Raw genomic sequence first — 20766 nt, forward strand, 5'->3', positions numbered from 1 at the left:
TGAGGAATAAGATTCTTATTAATGAAGGATTAAGAAAAAAATCCTTTCATTAAATTGCAACCTATTAAAAACTTAAAATGTACTAGTCATGTTAATAAATGTATAATAAATGAAACCATCTTTCTTTGATTAGTGGAGTTTTTCATAGAAAGGTAGCCATCAGAGCCATCTTTCTTAATATCAACAGAATCATATTAATACATTCTAAAAGACTAGACTTTGTTATATTTGAATTTACCACAGATACCTTAGAAGTTACCTTTTGTTTAAAAAAATCAAATCCCTAATGTCAGTTTGTTTTCTAACAAGCAAGGGAATAAATTTGAGTTTAAAATAGATTTCTTATTTGAGTTTTTACTTTACAGTTAGGTTTCAACTTAACCACTGTTTTCCAAGTTAGGTAGTGATGCTGCTCATCACTAGGTCTAAAAGAGATGGATGTTCACAGTTTCTGTGAAACTCCTAGCATCAAAAACAAACAGCTTAACAATCTTTTTTTTTTTTTTTTTAAAGATAATCTTGAAGAAAACCATGGTGGGCCAGGGATGGACAGGGAATAGGACACTTTTTAACTATTCTTAAAAAATAAAAAAGAACATTTCAAAAAGATTACTGAGCACATAACTAATGTCTCTGAAAGGAAATTCATTATAACAGCAGCTAGCCTTTATTGATCATTTGTGTTAGACATAACGCAAAGTATATCATAATTTAATTTGCTACATAAAGATACAGTCTACCTCTTAAGGTTGCTTTTGCCATTCTACACAGTACAGAGGAATGATGCACACCTTGGCAGTATACTTCCAGAGCTTGCAATCACTACACTATACTGCCTCACTGACAGCAATGCTTTTACTATAAACAATCAGAACTAAACAATATCCTATATACATTATTTAATCCAAACACATTTTATCTTAGAAAGACTGTACACAGTGAGTTCCACTTCTCTGTCATCAAGGTTAACAGTTCAGGCCTTTATCACTACACTTTCATCCCCGATCTGAATTACCTATACAAAAAGTCTATGTGGGCCTATGAGTTTAAAAGGCATTTGGCATTACTAACAAAGACCGATTTTTAAAAGCTGATGTTCCTAACTAGTAAACTGGAACTTGGCAGTAGGTTTCCAGTTCTTACTGACAGATCTCCAAGATGGTTACTAAAATGATACGCCCCTAAGATTTTCTTCCCACCAAGAAGAGATGAAAATAGCAGGTTCATCCTCTTTCCAACCAGAGACTTAACAGCACATTTCTGCACTCTATCATGTACATATACCTGGATTTCAAAACTCGGGTAAGTGACAGGTAGCTCTTTCTTCCCCAGAGGTTGGCAAGCCTTGTAATAAAAATTATTTTACTGAATCCATTTTGCATAGGGTAATTATATTTGTGCTATTTTATACATTCTATCTTAAATGGGTCATCTTTTCTGTTGGTCTTATTTCAACAATGGACATATATATAAGTATCTTAATTCTCAGTTTTACAAAGTATGCACAGGACCTCTTCCGTGCAGGTATCAAGACTGACCAAGTACATTATGAACCAAAGGTACAAAACACTCTTATGCAAAAACTTTAAAAGTAGGTCTACAAAGGGGTCATCCATTTTTCAATTTAAAAACCCGGCTCCACAGACCCTAAAGATTCTTTGGAACACTTATGGGACTCCCTCTACCCCTCAAACAGCTCTACTTGTATCTAATTAACAACAACAAACTTTCTGCAGCTAAAGGTTGAAAACTCCTAAATCTAATTCTTGCCCCAAATTAACACTCAGATATACCACGGGCCAAAGAGGCTATACTTTAGTTGCAGAACCCTTAGCTAGAATTCAAATATTCTGACTCCTGTTCACTAATGCTCTATCCACTAAAACCTGCTGCCTCCTCAGTCCCTCAGGAAATCCCAAAATTCAGCCAATTGTCCAAATCTATTCTATTCTCCCTTCACAATTACTTCTTATTTCTACTCTCCTCAACTTGTTTCAGGTCTGTATTACCTCGTAACTACATGATTAAGTAGAATTTTCACCTCTGCAGTGAGGTAGAGAGTCAGGTTATACTACTTACCTAGTGTCCCAAACACCAGTAAAAAATATTGCTGCTTGTCTTGAAAAGGGACAGCAAAATTGTTTCCAGAATGCTTTCGCTAAAAATTAGCAGAGCTGTCCCAGGAGTTACCCACATGGCTAAGATATTAAATGTGTGAACACTGAAGACTTCAGCCAAAAACTGGATAAAATTGAAGTAGTATATTTTTCTATTCCATTTAATGAAGCTTTTCCCTGCTTCCCTCTCAGTAGGCCAATTTCAATATCAAGAATGCAGTCACTATCAACATAATTCCCTTTGGTGACAATTAGTAACAACAGATGTATTCCAGCAGTTCCATACGTTTACATAAATGAAAATATCTGTCACTCCAATTACTATATTCAAAAAAAGACTATAAATACCAAGATGAATTGTAACATACTACTAAATGCAAAGCATCACAGTATGTAAATGACATGCCTACATAAACCAAGCTTTGAAAGGATACACAACAAACTACTAACACTGCTAACTAAAAAGCAGGAATATCAAGGAGTAAAAGGAAGAACTTCAACATTTTAAACACCAAAGTATTATTTGAAGTTATCATGTAAGCAAATCCTTTCATAATTTTTAAAAATCCAATAACTTTTTCCTTCTTTCAAAAAGCTGAATGAAATAATTCAGTATCAAAATGTTGGCTAACCACTATCCAATGCAGGAGGATTCATCCTTCCTAACTAACCACTGGTATTCCCTCCTGTGGTTAGTTACAGCTATTCTTTGGAAATTTGACCTGATGAAAACTTCACTAAATTCTAGGCACAGATGGCTGACAAGCTTATGTATCTGGTTACCTCAGGCTCACCTACTACTGGGCCTGTCAAGTTTTTCCAGTGGTATATTTTGAGAGTTCAAGACTTGACACAATTCTTTAGTTCTTTCTGTGACAAACAGATAGTGTTGCAGAATGGTAAGGTGACACTCTACTAAGACACTACTAAAAACACATTCCACTCAAACTCCCATTCGGCTTTACAAAGCTGCTGAAATACACACACGTGTTACTAAAATACAAATGCCAGGAAAGCTCATTCTTCTGATAACTTCTGAGCAATTTTCACTATAACCTAATGTTCCTACAGCAAGAACTACTACTTTATATACTCTACTGGTGTTTTTTTCTCCCTTTAATGCATATCAAAATTTGCCCTTTCATCCTCCAGCTGTAAAGTCTGACTACCCCTAGCACCACTCCACCTCATAATTGAATTTTTAATGTCTACTTGCCACTGAGTAGCAAATTCTATGCTCCATGGGCAGACATTTCGTTTCACAACGTTTCACGTATGCTACTCCACAGTAAGTGGTAGCTCTGCAGGGAAGCAAGTACCACATAGCTCACAATCAATATTCATTACTAGCCGCCTGCCTGGAATTCTTTCTGCCTCGATGTCCTCACTTCCATCAGGAATTAATTTCCTTTGTGACTAGGCCTTGAAGACCAGCTGAGCTGTTTCTGAGAAACATGGGCATTATGACCCTTTGGGGATTAAAAGAGTTAAAAAAAATATATGTTAGAAAGATCTCTACCATACAAAGAAAGTCATTAAACAGCTATTAGGAAATGCAAAAATACCCACTCACAATATGGAAACACTCCTGCTCAATAAACACCAGTCATCTAAACTTTTATATTACACTTAGAATATGGAACCACTACCTCTCTGTCTAAAAAGGATTAAAATAGAATTTAAAAATTTTAAGTGGCAAATGTTTATCTAGAAACAACTGAAGATACCAGAAGAAACAGGATCAAGAAAGTATGTGTAAGAAGAGAATAAAATTAAGATAGGAAAAATAAAATAACTTTATAAGAAATTACAGGCTGGGTGCAGTGGCTCAAGCCTGTAATCCCAACACTTTGGAGACCAGCCTGAGCAACAGTGAGACTCTGTCTCTATGAAATATTTTTAAAAATTAGCTGGGCATGGTGGCACGCACCTGTGGTCCCACTACTCGGGAGGCTGGGGTAGAAGGATCACTTGAGCCCAGACAATGGAGGCTGCAGTGGGCTGTGGTCTCACCACTGACTCCAGCCTGGATGAAAGAGCAAGATCCTGTCTCAAACAAAACAAAACAAAAACACCTCCCTGGGCAACAGAGTGAGACACCATCTCTACAAAAAAGTTTTTTAAAAAATTAGCCGGGTGTGGTGGTGCACACCTGTAATCCCAGCTGCTCAGGACACTGAGACAGGACGATTGCTTGAGCCTGGGAAGTCGAGGCTGCAGTGAGCTATGATCATACCACTGCACTCCAGCCTGGGCAAACACAGCAGCAAGACCCTGTCTCAAAAAAAAAAAAAAAAAAATAGTAACAATAAATTAACTTAAATTAAAAAATTTAAACTAAGGCATAGAGGTCTTTAAAAGGATTCCAAATCATATTGTAGAGGAAAACAAAGAGGGACAACAGAATTATGGTGATGGGAATAAAGCTTCTATTGCTTTAACTATTTAGATCATTGTCTTAATTACTAATGTTTAAAAAGAAAACTTTCTGCTGCTAAAAGCTGAAAACAAGATGTACAGCAAGCTATGTACGTCTCTACAAAATTTTACAAGAAGCAAGAAAATGTAAAACTTTCAAAACATTCACTGGAAAACTGGAAGAAAATAATATATCATAGTTTCCTAGTAAAACTCATGCTGCTAAATTTCTAAGTCAAGCAACAACTACCAAAACATGTCACTTCTATGGAACAACTTAATTTTGATGGTGCAATACATTACTGTAGTATTAGCAAAATTACCTGCTGCAAGACGGCTTCAAAAATAAAGACCACTGCTACCTGGATACATTAATGTTAAAAGCTAACCTGAAAGACCAAGGAGGGTGATCTACTGAAATAGTTTGGAATAAGCATATTTAGCGTTATAAGCATCAGGCTTCACACATCCTAAATGGTAAATAAGTTGTGTGTTAACCAAAAAAGTTCATTGTAATTACTTTCTAGCTTGTTAAAAATAAGAAGGGACTAATATCCTCTATATTAAAGATTTCAAATTTTATAATCATTTTACTATAGAACACATAGCTAGCTTTAAAACAACAGATTAAAAAGTAACCAAGATAACTGAATGGGTATTAGGGCAAAGAGAAAAGTTCACTAAGCACATGTATCTTGTGTCATGTACTGTACTGGGCATTGTATATATGCAGTCTCATTCTAACCACCATCCTGTGAGGTATGCGTTATGTCTAATAAGCGACTGAGAAAACAGAGGCTAAGAGAGATTAAGAGATTTGCCAAAAATCAGGGTTTCAACCTAATCTCTCAGGCTCCAAAATTCATAATATAATCCTTTGGTGAAAGGGACACAACTTAGAGGCCCACTGATAATTTTATTTCATCAGCACAGTGTTTTTAAATCCAACTTTCAGTGTTTTCAAAGCATGTATTCTCTAGTTTAGCAAATGGTACTTGTTTAGCTCTTGTGGTAAATGAGTTTGCAAACCCTGCTTTAATGCATGTCAACAAAAAGAGTAAAGGCAAGTCAACAGCTGTTCTCCTTGCCTTTCCATTCCTAGAAGGCATGTGGCTTTGACTACTGATAGTCCTAGGGACTAAGTACTATAATCCTACCTCAGAGGACACTTACAAGTACAGGAACAAAATGAAGATATTCTCAATGGGGGTTGCCCTGCCTTTTATAGGGCATTTTGGAAATTTCTCTATTTTTGGTTGACACAATGACTGAGGTGAAACTACTAGTCTTTAGTGGGCAGGCACCAAGGATTTGCAACATCCCACAAAGTAAGGAAAAGTCTTGCACAGTAAAGAATTGTCCCGCTTCCTATACCACTTTCAAATGACATTCAAGATGAAAAACTTGTTCTGAGCCCAGAACCCAACTCTGTTTTAAATATAACACAAAGTATTCTTGCATGATTTTAATCATCACTTAATTTTCCAGGAATGTAATTACTGTGTAAAGTGAGAATAGACTGTTCTTTCGTTCATTTGGAACTCTACCAAGAGCTGTTCACCTTTTCAGAAAATCACATTATCAACAGCAACACTGTCTATAGTATTCAATTCACCATTACAGCACAACTGTATCGGTCTGAATTTGTAGCTTGGTTTTTCTAATATAAACAATGGGCTACTTCAATGTCTTTCTGTCCAGCCATCTCTTAGCACTTACAGACTGATCTAAACATTGTATTATTAGAGTTACTTACCCTTATTTTCTCCTTTATATTACATTTAGGACATCAGATTGTTTTTTCTTCAATAACATGTAGGTAGGTCAAAACATCTATGAATTTTATTTCAGGATAGTAAAAGGGAGCTACAAAAATTTGCTATAAAAAGTTAACACAGATAGACATCTGATTTCACTTTCAGTCACCTATCTCGGGGAGGAGAGAATGGGGATGAAAAATAACAAGGGTCCCTGTGACTAAATTTAACTTGAAGTGAGAGCAGTGAGCACACTACAAAGATTACAGAAATTCGATATTAACCTTCCCTAGTAGAGAGGAATAATTAATTCAATGAAAAGACTGGCCTATTAACAACCATCTAAAATGCACATTTTAATGATATGCTCATCATTTGTCAAAAGAGCCAACCTTGAAATAATCTGGCCTTTCTCATTAGTACTTTATTTTTCCTCTTAACTTTCTTATGAACTACCAGAGTTGCAGTTAACCTATTAAGGGTAAACACTATAAATACCATGCCCTATAACTCAAAGCTAAACAAGCATGCCATTTAAAAATATAGCAGTTTATTAAGCACTTCAGCATACATTGTAATTTAATCCCATAAAACTCTATGGGTTAAGTATTACACTAATTTTTAAAACAGAAACCAGAGTACTAAAATGCAAACAGACAGTATTACAGGGCTACTGCCAAATCCAGTGTTCTTTCTACTTAACTTCATTACCCAACAAGATGACCTTTTCAGTATAGTTCTTATTCACATTTTATATTTACAATGGTAATTTCCTACTTTCATAAAAACTACAAGTTACTTTTAGTACTTTTTAAAATTACCTTAAATATATTTCAAATAAATATGGGTAAGTATAACTAGGGTTATGTTTCATGTTCCTTAATATCATTCTCCCTGGAACCTATTCCACTGTTCGAGTCCTCTTATTCTTATAGGCACCACTCCTTGCCTTAGCCCATAACAAAAGGACAAAAGGGAGAGCTCTTACAATGAATTACTGATAAACAGGGACAAACCACTACTAAAAACTCATCAAACCATGATTTTCTTAGTACTGAAATTTAGGTATAAAGTAATCACATCCCATAGGAGACTGAGGCAGGAGAATCACTCGAACCCGGGAGATGGAGGTTGCAGTGAGCTGAGATCGCGCCACTACACTCCAGCCTGGGTGACAGAGTGAGACTCCATCTCTGAAAACAAACAAAAAAAACCAAACAAAAAAACAAAGTAATCACATCCCTAGTCTGTCTGCATTGTTAACATCCACTTTCTGACTCTCTAAATCAGGTGGTTACAATTCAGCAAGTGAAAATTATTTTGAACCCATTAGAAAGAAAAGGGTGTGGTCAATCACATCTTCATTTATACCTTTTTCTTCTTCCAAACCAAGAATACAAATATATTCCAAGCCCCCAGGCACAAATATGGAAAAGGGCAATCCTTAAACGAGAAGTCCCAGAAACATCCTTATCATATACCCTTTAGGCAATAATGCCCTAAATTTTTAAATATTTTAGGTAAGAAGAGGGAGAATTGTTTTAAAAAAAAAAAAAAAAAGCCTGACGCCCTCAGCCCACCTTCTTCTCGAAAACAGCTTTAATTTCAGAGAATAAATGAAAAAAATTACTGTCAGATATAAGGTAGCTGAACTGAAGAAAACACATATAGAAATGTGAGGTTATCAAAATAAAACAATGCTACTCTAACCTATATTTTCTCATACAAAATTTGCAATGCAACATGATTTTGTCCATATTAAATCTACTTTAGGAAGGTTTCTTTTAATACACAAAAACCTCACCAAATTACAAGGCTGTCTTTTAAGTTCTAACTGGAAGGCCAAAATAGCAAAGATACATTCTTCCAGGGTTGCCATATTACGTAAATAAAAATTCTTCATTTTTGATCTGAAATTCAAATATAACTGGGCATCCTATATTTTATCTGACAACCCTACACTCTTCAAACTAAAGTGAGCTCCCACCTCTACCAAGGTATTACAGCACCAGCTCCCACTTCTAAAGACAGGCTGTGGCTTCTATCACAGCAGGATTTTAACTAATGAAGTCTTAGGAGTTAGGATGAAAGTGTCCTTTTCCAGGTTTTTAATAGCATACATTTACCATATAAAAGAAAAAGCTTAATTTCTAATGGCCAAAGGTTATACTTTTACTAGGTTTCATATAAAGTCTAACGGGCTCTTTATTATCTAGGCTTCTTTGTATTCAACACGTATTGGAAGGATTTCATAGTTTAGCTTTTTGATAACAAAAAGAAGTTGCTTCTGAAGGTTATAGTAAGCAAAATTCTGTTCTAATATCACAGGCAAGTCCTAAAAGCTACCTTAATGGATTCCAAAGTTAATCTACCATTTTACTTGGATTCATAATCATAGAAGTTTAGAGCTAGAAACACTAATTTCTGATCTTTAAAAACTTCTGGCTGGCAGGGGGGCTGTGGCTCATGCCTGTAATCCCAGCACTTTGGGAGGCACAGGCAGGAGGATCACTTTAGTCCAGGAGTTTGAGACCAGCCTGGGCAACATAGGGAGACCTCATCTCCACAAAAAATTCAAAAATTAGCCAGGCATGGAGGTATGCGCCTGTGGTCCCAGCTACTTGGAAAGCTGAGGCAGGAGGATCACCTGAGCCTGGAAGGTTGATGCTGCAGTGAGTAATGATCACGCCACTGCATTCCAGCCTAGGCAACAGAGTGAGACCCTGTTTCAAAACAAAACAAACAACAGAAAAACACACTAACTTTTGAAAAGTCCATTTCATTTCATATTCATTTCCATATTTTTCTCTCATTGAGCTTCTAAACAAGCACAGTACTATGTAAGAAAGAGATCATTTCTGTTTTTGAGTACCCTCTCAACCAGCTCTTTGTCCTACTTATAATGGTTCTGACGATGAGTGCAAATAACTCTATTCTTCCGCTAGTTTCATTAAAATCATCTTAATACTAAACCTATGCTTTCTTCCCTGTGCTCTAGGCCATTGCTCTTTGATACAGCCCATCCATCTTTGGAGACTGCCTAATTCCCTTACTTCATTTACACTGCTACCTTGAAAGTATTAATAGATAATCACATCCCCCTAGTGCTCCCTGTTCCTAAGTTTAGCTCCTTCAGGCTTTTCTCCTAAATCTTAAGCTACCATCAACATAGATTCTATGTCTCTTCCAAAATGTGGTTAGAAAGTATTCTTATTTGGAGTTCAATCCTAGTAGAAAACAGTAATGCTGTTAGGTTAGCACCATACTTTTGATACGTGATCACTATGTTATTTGTGTAAGGGTAATTCAATGACAGTTCACTGCAAGCTATTTGAAACCTCTTTATACTTGCTTTTTTCCAGGTAGCAGTTTCCTGGTTTGCATTAAGGCCATTTATTTCATCTCCCTTGATGCACGATTTGAGATTCAGCATTAATGAATATAATTTCAATGCTGGAGCTCCTTGTGCTATTTTTTTCCAGTTGTTCGGCAATGATTCCCAAACCTGCTAAACTCGTATAATCAAAAAAATCCCAAGTTAAATTTAACACATTCCTTCAATCTATGAATTTAGAAGTTTTTCACAGATAGTTGCCAACAAAGGAGGACATCTTGTTGCCTTTTTTTCCTCCAGGAAGCAGTGTCTAAAAACTAGGAAATAATCCCACTACTCTAGGATCTTAAACATGAACGGCAGATGATTCTTTAGTGATGGTTCTGCTTACCCTCTCTCTCTCTTCCCTTGGCCAGTATTCAAGTCAATCTGTACTCAACAGAAATGTGCCTCAGACTACAGCAACCAAGTAAAGCATTTGGCTTAGAATAAACATTAGTACTCCCAGCCCTGCAAACTCAAAGGCTCAGGAATAAGGAACACAAGGTCTAATTTAAAAGGAAGGTCAACTGAATATACTGGAAAAGTTATGTCTTGATTATATTCAAATTACTGTGGCTTCCCCTTTTTCTAAAGTTCTAAAAGGAAAAAAAATCGCTATATATAATGGCTAATGTATAAATCCAAAATGTTTTATTTTCTTTACTCATAATGACTAATAACAGTATATGCTGATATTACTGATAAATGTCTAGTGAAAATCCTTGTGTTAACAAAAATCATAATTATTCCAGACTAACATGGCATGTAAAAAATAAACAAAAGCCCCAAACTACTCCATACCTGAAAATGCTGTTTTTCAAACTGAGTTTCACGGCCCATGAATTGTGAATTCAATTTAGAAGGTCACTATGGTTCTCTTAACTACCTCACACAGATTAATAATAGGTAATGTTTCACAAGATATTACATATTTGTGTAATTTTGTTATAAATTTCTATTAGTCAAAAACTACTTCTCTATCTGGGTCACAGACAAAAAAGTTTGAAAGCCTTTTTCTAAAGAGCTTTTTTTTTTTGAGACGGAGTCTGGCCCTGTCACCCAGGCTGGAGTGCAGTGGCATGTTCTCGGCTCCCGGGTTCACGCCATTCTCCTGCCTCAGCCCCGAGTAGCTGGGACTACAGGTGCCGGCGACCACCCCTGGCTGATTTTTTGTATTTTTGGTAGAGATGGGGTTTCACCGTGTTAGCCAGGATGGTCTCGATCTCCTGACCTCGTGATCCGCCCACCGCAGCCTCCCAAAGTGCTGGGATTACAGGAGTGAGCCACCGCGTCCGGCCAAGAGCTTTATTTTTCAAGTAATTTCAACATGATTACATGTGAACCAAATATTATCTTTTACTCATATAAACTAACCCCTACTGACTACATTTCAGGTCCTAGAAAATTCTAGTTTGCAATGTAATTTTTAGGTTATTTTTAAATTAATAAGTAGCAAGGGTGTAGCTGAAACTAGATGATGAATACACAGGGGTTTATTCATTACTTAATCTATTTTTGTACATGTTTGAAATTCTAAAGATCTAAAAGAAAAAAAGGAAAAGAAATGGACCTAACAGATAACAAAGTAGTACCATGAATGTTTACAACTTGAGACCTTTAAACACAATGTTTCTAAGGAATAACAATCAAGGAACTTGCTAGGATTTAATTCAGTTAACACTTGGGGTTGCCTTCTTCGACTATAATGGACGGATTTCCAGGTCTTAAAAAATGCATAAGGGACTGCAGAAACTAACTCATATATAGAAAACAAACTTTCTCGAAAGATAACATAAAAATACAAATAGTTAAGTGTGTTTCATTGTCTCTTTATTAGTCAACCACTTTCAGCCAACAGAAAGATCATAAAATACCTACCTACCTGGCAGGAATATTCACTTCTTTATTCACACTGGCAATTTTCCCAGCAAGTTTAATATAAGATCTCTGCATAACAGACACGGTTCTGCCTCCCTTGAAACAAGAACTGCAAGGGTTGTCTGAAGTAGATTTAGAGGCATTTAGATTTCAAAACAGTGCATGCCTCAAAGTTAATTTTCATTATATTCAAAAGTAAGTTTCTAAAAACTTTTAAACAGAAAGTGTTATCATCTCTGAGCCTTTAACCTATTGGAGACAGTATCTAAGCTATAAGGGCAAGATATTTAGTAATTTTTAGAACTGAAAGGAAATTTAGACATCATCTAGTCCAATGGTTTCCAAATCCTACCATCAGGAAGAAAAGAATCTCAAAGGCATAACAATTTATATATGCAAAACAAACTCTTACTTGTGTGTTTTCCTGTATCTTCCTGCACATGAAATACTATGCCTTATTAGTATTCTATCAGGAAAGGATGTGACATTTCGTTATGCATTTTATATTTAATCACATTTAGTATGTGAGTATCCATTTAGATATGATTAAAACTATTGGTACGATTTGGGACTTAATGCTTTCTAATTATAGAAACTTACATAATATATCCAACCCTAATACTTTCAGAGTGATTTCATACCATCTCATTTATATTTCACTGTCTAGTAAATTTGAAGTAATACCTGGGTGACCGATGATTTTTAATAAGGCAAGAGAAGGATATCCAAATTGGCATATTTCAGCCGGGCACAGTGGCTCACACCTGTAATCACAGCACTTTGGGAGGCCGAGGTGGGCAGATCACCTAAGGTCAGGAGTTCGAGATCAGCCTGGCCAACATGGCGAAACTCCATTTCTACTAAAAATCCAAAAATTAGCTGAGTATGGTGGCTGGCGCCTGTAATCCCAGCTACTCAGGAAGCTGAGGCAGGGAGAATTGCTTGAACCCAGAAGGTGGAGGTTGCAGTGAGCTGAGATCATGCCACTGCACTCCAGCCTGGGCAACAGAGCAAGACTCCATCTTTAAAAAAAAATTGACATATTTCTGGAAAATACCATAAAGTATATCATAAAGCTCCAGTAGTTAAGATTATTTGGTAGGAAGGCTAGTCTTAAAACATTCCATAATTGTTTCAGAAATGCAAGAGAATACCATTTAGTGCTTTTTAGTACAAGAAACTCAATACAAAATGTTTCCCTCGAGCTGACTACATTCTATTTTAATGAACAGATAACACTCAGTTTATTTATTTGAAAAACAAGAAACACAACAAGAAAACAGCAGGTATCTGAGGAATATTAAATGTCTCCCCTAACTTACTGTGTGCAAGTAAATTTACATACGTAGGAAATTCTTTAAATATTTAGAAAACCCCATTTCTATACAGATAGACAAAAGTTCTGAGCAATCAGGTCAAAATAATCTCAAATTAATAAGAGTTGATTGATAAATGTTTGCCTTTGTACATACACAAAAGCAAACAAAAGTTAGGCCTACTTTCAGTTTCAGACAATATAATAAATTGAAATTAAATACAAATTTTGACTCTCCTTCCTAAACTGAATAGATCCTTAAAAAGCAGATATATTTTACTTGTGTATTCACTCTTTTAAATTTAGACATCAATATCACTAGAATAATGTTTTTACACAAGATCACTTTTAAATTCAGTAAGAAGTTTTGTTATGTATATAAGCCTAAAATATGTAACCATTTATAACCAATTAATTTTACTGGAGGGGTTTCCTGTCTTCCCGAAGTTAATCCTTACCAACTAAAATTAGGAATTTTGAAAAAAAAAATCCATAAAAATTTCACAAACAAGCTTACAAATGCATTATCTAAGGTGCTTAAAATTAAACTCCATATTATGAACAACATTTTAAAAATTTGTATAAAATGATAATGTTTTGTTTAAAGAGGCATACTGAAAGCTAAGCCAATTTTTCACAGGAGGTGATTCTCCAACATTATTTTAACTTTGATGTGTGAATTTACTTTAGAGGTCCCTGGTCTATTTACTCTTTCTGACAGCTTATATTTTTCCGGATGCTCCTCAAACAAAGATTCATTCCTCATTCTTGCATCCTGCTTTTCTCCTTGTACTACTGCAGCCTTTCTTCTGTCTTTCCCTTTCTCTTACAACTTCATTCTCTACTTCTGATCCTGTCCAGATTGTACTCTCACTGCAAACAGTAAATTGAATAGAATACATCAGAACGATTTTCATAAAATTCACTTTTCCAAAACTACTCTGCATAATTTTATTCAAACTTTTGTTGAACATCTCTTGTATGGTATCCAACATGGTCACTCACTGTTTCTCTACATACTTCATTTTAATAGATATTAGCACTTTATCTCCTTCCCGAATCGTTGTAAAAAACCTTTACACAGACCCAGCAAGTTTCAGAGTTTACACACAAAACATCTTACTTTTAAAAAGTACCTCAGACTAATGAAAAACAATGTTCAAACTGACAGAGCACTTTTCTAATTACATTTGGTCATCTTTCAAGGCCCAATTAAATCTTTTTTTAATTTAAATAATTATTTTTATTTAAACTTTATTTTAAAGTTAAAATAAAGATAATATAATGTTGCTTTTTATTAATGTCTAAAGGCATATTCCACAAAAGAAACTGTTTCACATCAAATCTGTATTAATGAGAAAAAACAATGGGATTCCCTTAAAACAGTCTAATTTCTCATAAGGATCTGTATTAATCAAGCGAAGTCAGACCTGTAATGAATTCCAACCTCACATCTAAGGGGTTTTATTTCCTTTTGTGGTTTTAAATCTTGGTATATTCACAAGTTAAGCTCTACTGCGTCTGGCAACACAAAAACCCATCTGTATCTCTTTCTAATTTGGATCCAGTAACCTTGTAAAACAAACCCAGGGAATGGGTCCTGATGTAGTAACATGGCCTATCCTCCCAGACCGAACCAATTTCTCATGCCTGGGTGCTGCATTATATCAGTAGTGACATTTTAGCCAGTAGCCTGAGAGACTGAAAGCCTGTGATCTCCTTAGGAAGGGCTTTATGTCAAGGCAAACTATTTCTTCTGGTCAAATCTTATTTGGATTATTTCAAAATTTTTTGCTTGACATTCGGCATGTCATTTGTGCCACAGCTGCCATAGATAAGATGTGTCTTCTGTTGCTCATTTCAGTTCAAAGAGGAAACACGCAATCAATTAGCAAATACACCTCTAAAAATGTACTCAGTGAGAGAAAATTGCTAAACCACTGAAGCAAACAGCCCTTGACAGAAAAGAAAAAGATCCATGAATCATCTAATGCAAATACTGGCATTATTACAAAGCACAATGTTCACAACTATCTAGTATCACCCAAACAAAATGGTTTCTAAAATTTAGGTCGTTAAAAATAAGATTCATTAGATTCCTTATTTTCCTCCATTGAACAGTGTTAATTTTGTGATGTCATATTTTCCATATGAATATATTACGTTTTTACACACCACTCCACATTCATTAATTCAGCTAACATCTATAACACTCCCACTGTGTGCCGGGTACCACACTCTATTTCTCTTATTCACAACAATAATACTCTATGAGAAAGTGATACCTGGCCCACTTGAAAGATTTGGTTCACAGAAAAAAAAGAAAAAAAAAAGCCATAAAGTCTCTCCCAGAAACTCAAATAAAAATATTAACTTCCTCACCAGAATTGGCAATTGCAGACACAGTGCAGCTGGTCACTTTTCTGAGAAAGTTACATAAGCAAAAGCACAAATCTCTATGTGGGGCCTTCAAATGGCCTATTTACCATGACAGCAGCATTAACAATCAAGTTTTCAATATACACATGAAGAAAAATAAATAAAAAATAATGCTCCTTTTTAAAGGATAGTAGTAATAGCTAACATGTACTGAGACTCAGGCTGAAATCTAAGCGGTCATTATCTCATTTAATCCTCACATCATCCCTAGGGAATGGACATGATTGTAATCTCCACTTTACAGATGATGAACTGATGAAACTGAAGTTTGCATTACTCAAGATCACTCAGCTACTGACAGCTGGAACTCAAACCTGAGTCTGTCACCGTCCAAAGCCTGCACTCTTGATCATCACATTATACTGCTTTGTTTACACTCACTCAATTGCAGTCTAATGCTTTTGAATGTCTTATAAGGTTACTTTTTAGAACAAGTTCCTCTTTAAACTACCATTTTGATGATACATATAGAAGTCAACAAATAAGGATTTTACTTGGAATTGGTCTTACAAGTTTAAATTCTTGGATGAGAAACAAAATCCATCTGAATGAAAGCCCTGAATGTCCACAACAATGGGTCAGAAACTCACTGGAGCTTCAAGAGACCTTGAGAGTCATACAGGCCAAATTCTTCATTTTAGGAATAATGAAACAAATGCCTTTTGAAAAACATCTATATTCAATCTAAACTACTACATTCCCAATTCAGAGATACTTGTGAGTTTTTTTCTCCAGTCATTTAAATAGAAAATCTAACATTTCTAACATTTCAACATCATGCACAAGCAAGGTATCCCTTTTTGAAAGCACTGTAAGAAAACACAAACTCCATGACATGAAGTCAGATCACTGCAGGGCTATTTATTACCAGCTGAAAGCTTGAATATTATAATAAGACATGTTATATAGAAAGCTATAAAATGGCATCCATAACTATAGGAACTCAAACTCAAAAATAGCCATCTCTTCCTTGAATTAAATTTACATTCATTTGGGTCAACCAGCAGCTCAGCTTCATTTCATCGGTCATGTCATGTGACTGAATTCAAGCTCATTTCAAGGGAAAGGCCGTTCTATGCTGTATTTAGAACACATATCACTGAGCAGACAGATGAGTCTTTATAGGCCTATCCAGAAACCTTGCTTTAGTTGCTAAGAAACTACAATTTTACCGTATTATAAATCATTGGAAAAAAGCTAAGCCAGCAGAGATTAAACATGTTAAGATCAAGAATCTCTCACCTATTGTGCAAAATGAAACTATGCTATTACCATAAACTGAATAGCTAAAATTAGCATTAGGCTTCTTTAAGTCATGTTGACACAGTCGAAAAACTGATAAGACAAATAAGACTAACTCTACCCTGCCTTCCACAGTGGACTCATGCTTAGAGGAAAACAGGAAAAATACCCAATACACTTAGCATATTCAATGCTAGAGACAGAAAAAATGTTTCCTTCCTGACCCCTGCAGTGATATCCAAGGCCATGAAGCACACATAAAATTTGGTACTACGAACACATATTTAACTGATGGATATTGTCAATCCTTTATTCGTTTTAGGAATAATGAAACAAACTCTAACATTCAGCATTTTAAACCCAGTTTCTCAAAAAACTCCACTGGCTCTATCACTGATTTTTTAAAATTTAAATTGCAGCCTCTCTAATAAGAGTAATCATAAATTGTTCTGGCCTAACAATAAACAATGAAAGATTAGCAAAAATAATTTATAGTTCACTCTCCAGTACTGACTTCTCATAAATTCCTTCACAGAAAAAATATTCTTTAACCTCTTAATGGCTGTTTCCACAAGGGCAGAAACAGGTTCACAATCCTAGACTCACTTGTGAAAGATCAATTCAGCAGCTGAATGCTAACACATGTCTTCAATCAGAATCTGCTCTGTTTAGGTCCCTATGCCCATGATTCCCCACCACTTCTCCATCTTCTCAAAGGAGCTTCAATTCAAAACCCAGTAATTCTCTGCTTTCTACTGTACCACCTCCCAGGGGCCACTTTCATGTTCCTCGGAAATAACGTCTCTTCTGTCTTGAAACTTTTAAATCTCAAAAATCCACTTCCCCATCTCCCTGTCGCCAGTCACTGCCCTCAATCCCACCACTGCAATTAGTTGCAGCTATGTGTCCCTGTTTTCCCAAAGGCCCGACCAATATCATACAGCATTTGCCACATCCCAACTCCTCCCTTCCCTAATTTATCCTCCACACTGCAAACCAACATTACACCCCCGACTTCCTGCATTTTACTCCCTTCCCTTATTTTTCGTCTTCCCCCACCCCCATCTCTATACCCAGGCCTCCTTACTTCTCTAATAAATATTCCCCCACCTCAGTTCCAACCCTTTCCCTCCATCCTCTGCTCATTTTCCTCTCCTTATTTAGAAACTCCTTTTTGCTCTCCCAACCACTACCCTAGAATGCCCAGCACTCCACCCTCTTTAGCAAACCCAGCCCTCTTCCCCCAGCTCATTTGGAGACACTGCTGCTTCTCTCTCCAGGTCCCCTACTGCAGTCAACCCACTCCCTCATCTTCCCACCCACCTTCCCTCTATCCCTAGATCCAAGGTTCCCTGATTCTTTACCCCCTCCTTTGGTCTCTAGTACTCAGCTCACCATTAGTGTTCCTCAGGACTCTCTTCCCCCCAATTTCCCCCTTATTTTTAAGGATGTCACCAGTCCTACGGGGCCTCAGTAGAATCCTGGACGACCCCAGCTCCCGGGGGGCCTGACGGACACCACCATCCCCGTCGCCCGGAACACAAACGCCGGTCTTGTGCCACCCTCCCTAAGAGCTGCGCCCCCTCCTCATCCGCCCCCGCTACTCCAGCTCCCCACGTCGGCTTCCTCCGTGTCCCCTCGCCGACCCGGCACGACGAGCCCCACGACGTGGAGCCTCCGAGTGGGCAACACCTCGGGCTCACCCCGGACGCCCCCGCCGCTCGGATAGGAGCCTCCGGTCCTCACACCCGCGCCTCCTCAAACCCGCAGCCGGTACCTCCTCTCGGACCCGCAGCCCCTCAGACGCCCACTCGGCCCCCTTCCCCGAGCTCCAGCGTCTCCTCAGGCCAGAGCCGGGCCCCCTCCGGCCCCGGCGCCCCTCAACCCCCGCCCGGCCCGCCCCCGGCGCCCCGCTTACCGTTCTGAGCGGCGCCTGGCCCTGGGAGGAGGGAGCCAGAGACCAGCAACAGCGAGAGGGCCAGGGCGCTGGGCAGCGACGAACCCGACATCCTCCCTAGCAGAAGACCCAACAGCGAATGGGCCGGGGCCAGAGCCGGGGCCGGGGAAGGGAGGGGAGGGAGGGAGGGGGCGGGCGAGTGCGCGAGGGAGTGAGCGAGGGAGGCAGCCGCGGCTCGGCTCCGTCCTTCCCCGTCCTCCTCCTGCCGCCGCAGCGCCCAGGCCTCGCGAGACCTTCGCTCCGGGTCGTGGGCGGCTGAGGAGCGACCGCCGCAAGGATCGCGAGAAGAGGCGGCTCCGACGGAGACTCCCGCCCCGCGGACTCGGTGGCCCCGCCCCTGCAGAGGCTGATTGGCCTAGCGCGAGGTAGGTCACGTGCCGAGGGCGCCTCTGGCCATGTGACGGGGCGAGGCGGGACTCCGCTAGCTCTCTGGGCAGTGGGGAGCTGGGAAGTCCTTCAGTTTACTCCTCTGTGGCCCGGGAGCACCCATAAATAAGAGGAAGCTTTGGAACACAGTACATTTCCTCCACCCATCCTGCCTTTCATTTGTTAGCGCTCTTGGCTACAGAGTTTCATACACCGTGCCTCCTTTCCTCCTTCCTCTCTTTGTCCCCGTCCTGCTGTTTCTTCCTTCTGGACTTTGAACATAGACCTCTACTGGTAACTGGCTCCAACCTCCTTCTCTCATCTGCTGTTTTTTCCTTCCAGGAAAAGTGGTGCGCCCCCTGTGCCCCCGTTACCTTGTGCTTTCCTGCCTGGACATCTGCTCCCTTTGCCTGAAATGTCCTCCTTTGCCGCCTCTGCCTACTCCCCCTCCCACCCCACATCTGGGCCTTATTTTAGCTTCATAGACTCTCAGGGCCTGAAGTTCAGCTAGCCTAATTGCATGTTCATTGACACAATTCTACAAGGAAGTCGTGTATGAACTTACATGAAGACTCCTAAGAAGCGTCTTAATGCGGAAAACATTTATTGAGAACGTGCTGTGTGCCAGGCACATAGTGAAACCCACATGAAAAGGTAGTCCCCGTCCTCATGGAGTGCACTGCCTAGGCTAGCAGAGGAGTGAGGAAGGGTCAAATGGCCCCATAGGAAAGGATCTAGCAAAGCACTCTGGAGGGTGATTGGCAGTGTGGTTACTACTGTTTGCATAGAAGTTTGGGAAATGCTCTTTTTAGGGGTATTTTTTGTACTACCCTCAGGGCTTGTGGTTGGCAAAGGAATTTCTATGGCTTAGCTCATCCCTGACTCACAGCAGACGTCCTGGGAGTGTCTGTGGAAACTCTGAGGGGCCAAGTAAACAGTCCTGGTGGCCTGACTTGATTTAAAGAGAGGGTTTGGAGGACCTGGAAGAAGGAGACCCTCGCAATCTCTATCAAGCTAAAGTGGTCTGGAACTTTCAACAGGAACTGAACAGCTGGTGGTTCCAGACCAAAATTTCTAGCAAAGGCCAGGACCACTATGGCATGTTGTTGATTGAAGTGAAAACTATGTCCTTCAAAACCTCAGGTGTGTGAGTGACAAAAAGATTGGCATGTACCTTCATCTGGACAAAGGCCATTCTGCAGACAGCCCAGTAAGGAGGGCTACAGGGCTGCCTGTGGTGGGATCAAGATTTTCAGCTGATGGAAGCTTTGGTTGGATGCAACCATTCTGCCTCATTATAGCTGTAACAAATGTGGCTCTTTGATCCTTACAACAAGAGATTCTTACAAAATGATCATGGTCTTTTTGTGGATAGGGAAGCTGAAGCCAAAGGAGGACACGAACGGCTCCAGCTCTCAGAATGTTTGTATTAATCATTAATGCCAACAATCTGGTTTGCTTGTTAATAGACTCATGGTAGAAGTGCATTTTCTTGTCCCCTTGAAGTCGGGAGTGGCATTGGATGTGCTTGGGTCAGTGAAATGTGTAAAGTAACATGCATTGCTTCAAGCAGAAGCATTTCATTTCCAGTTTAGACTCTTTCCCATACTCTTTCGTCTTGGTAGTGATTACTGATCATGACGATGAAAGCATATATCAAAACGAACCTTGTGTCAGCATTAGTCCCTGAGTTAGCATAATAAGCTTAACCCCCCTGCTAACCCATACAGAACAGGTACCCTCTGTTGAATTAAACTGTGAGATTCAAGGGGTATTTGTTCCTGTGACATAACATAGACTGTTCCGGCTAATGGAAAGATGAAATTCAAGTCCACAACACCAACATTACCATCCAGGAGCTCTGTCATCTTAGGCAAATGACCTAATCTCTCTGGACCTTA

At 38.7% G+C, this 20766-nt stretch overlaps 1 protein-coding gene across 8 annotated transcripts in view, besides 4 other annotated features; it reads right to left on the reverse strand.

Annotated features, from left to right (window-relative positions):
* NPTN (neuroplastin) overlaps nt 1-18725 on the reverse strand; it is a 73376-nt gene extending 54651 nt beyond the window's left edge. For all 8 annotated transcript variants that reach the window (XR_007064440.1, XR_007064439.1, XR_007064438.1 and 5 more), the window contains exon 1: nt 18461-18725. Coding sequence is in view for 5 of the 8 variants with exons in the window: in NM_001161364.2 (NP_001154836.1) it covers nt 18461-18551 (91 nt within the window). In the remaining 3 variants the exon portion in view is untranslated. The remainder of the gene's footprint in view (nt 1-18460) is intronic.
* Nucleotides 2549-3138: an enhancer, noted in NCBI's record as "NANOG hESC enhancer chr15:73909554-73910143 (GRCh37/hg19 assembly coordinates)". NCBI's record gives its function as "activates a minimal SCP1, AML or CMV promoter by ChIP-STARR-seq in naive H9 embryonic stem cells {active_cell/tissue: H9 hESC(naive)}" and the evidence as "EXISTENCE:reporter gene assay evidence [ECO:0000049][PMID:30033119]".
* Nucleotides 3152-3713: an enhancer, noted in NCBI's record as "OCT4-NANOG hESC enhancer chr15:73910157-73910718 (GRCh37/hg19 assembly coordinates)". NCBI's record gives its function as "activates a minimal SCP1, AML or CMV promoter by ChIP-STARR-seq in naive H9 embryonic stem cells {active_cell/tissue: H9 hESC(naive)}" and the evidence as "EXISTENCE:reporter gene assay evidence [ECO:0000049][PMID:30033119]".
* Nucleotides 18242-18501: a silencer, noted in NCBI's record as "silent region_6633". NCBI's record gives its function as "represses an Ori minimal core promoter by ATAC-STARR-seq in GM12878 lymphoblastoid cells {active_cell/tissue: GM12878}" and the evidence as "EXISTENCE:reporter gene assay evidence [ECO:0000049][PMID:35858748]".
* Nucleotides 18582-18881: a silencer, noted in NCBI's record as "silent region_6634". NCBI's record gives its function as "represses an Ori minimal core promoter by ATAC-STARR-seq in GM12878 lymphoblastoid cells {active_cell/tissue: GM12878}" and the evidence as "EXISTENCE:reporter gene assay evidence [ECO:0000049][PMID:35858748]".

This window comes from Homo sapiens, chromosome 15 (assembly GCF_000001405.40).
Source record: "Homo sapiens chromosome 15, GRCh38.p14 Primary Assembly".
In the NCBI taxonomy this organism is placed as follows: Eukaryota; Metazoa; Chordata; class Mammalia; order Primates; family Hominidae; genus Homo; species Homo sapiens.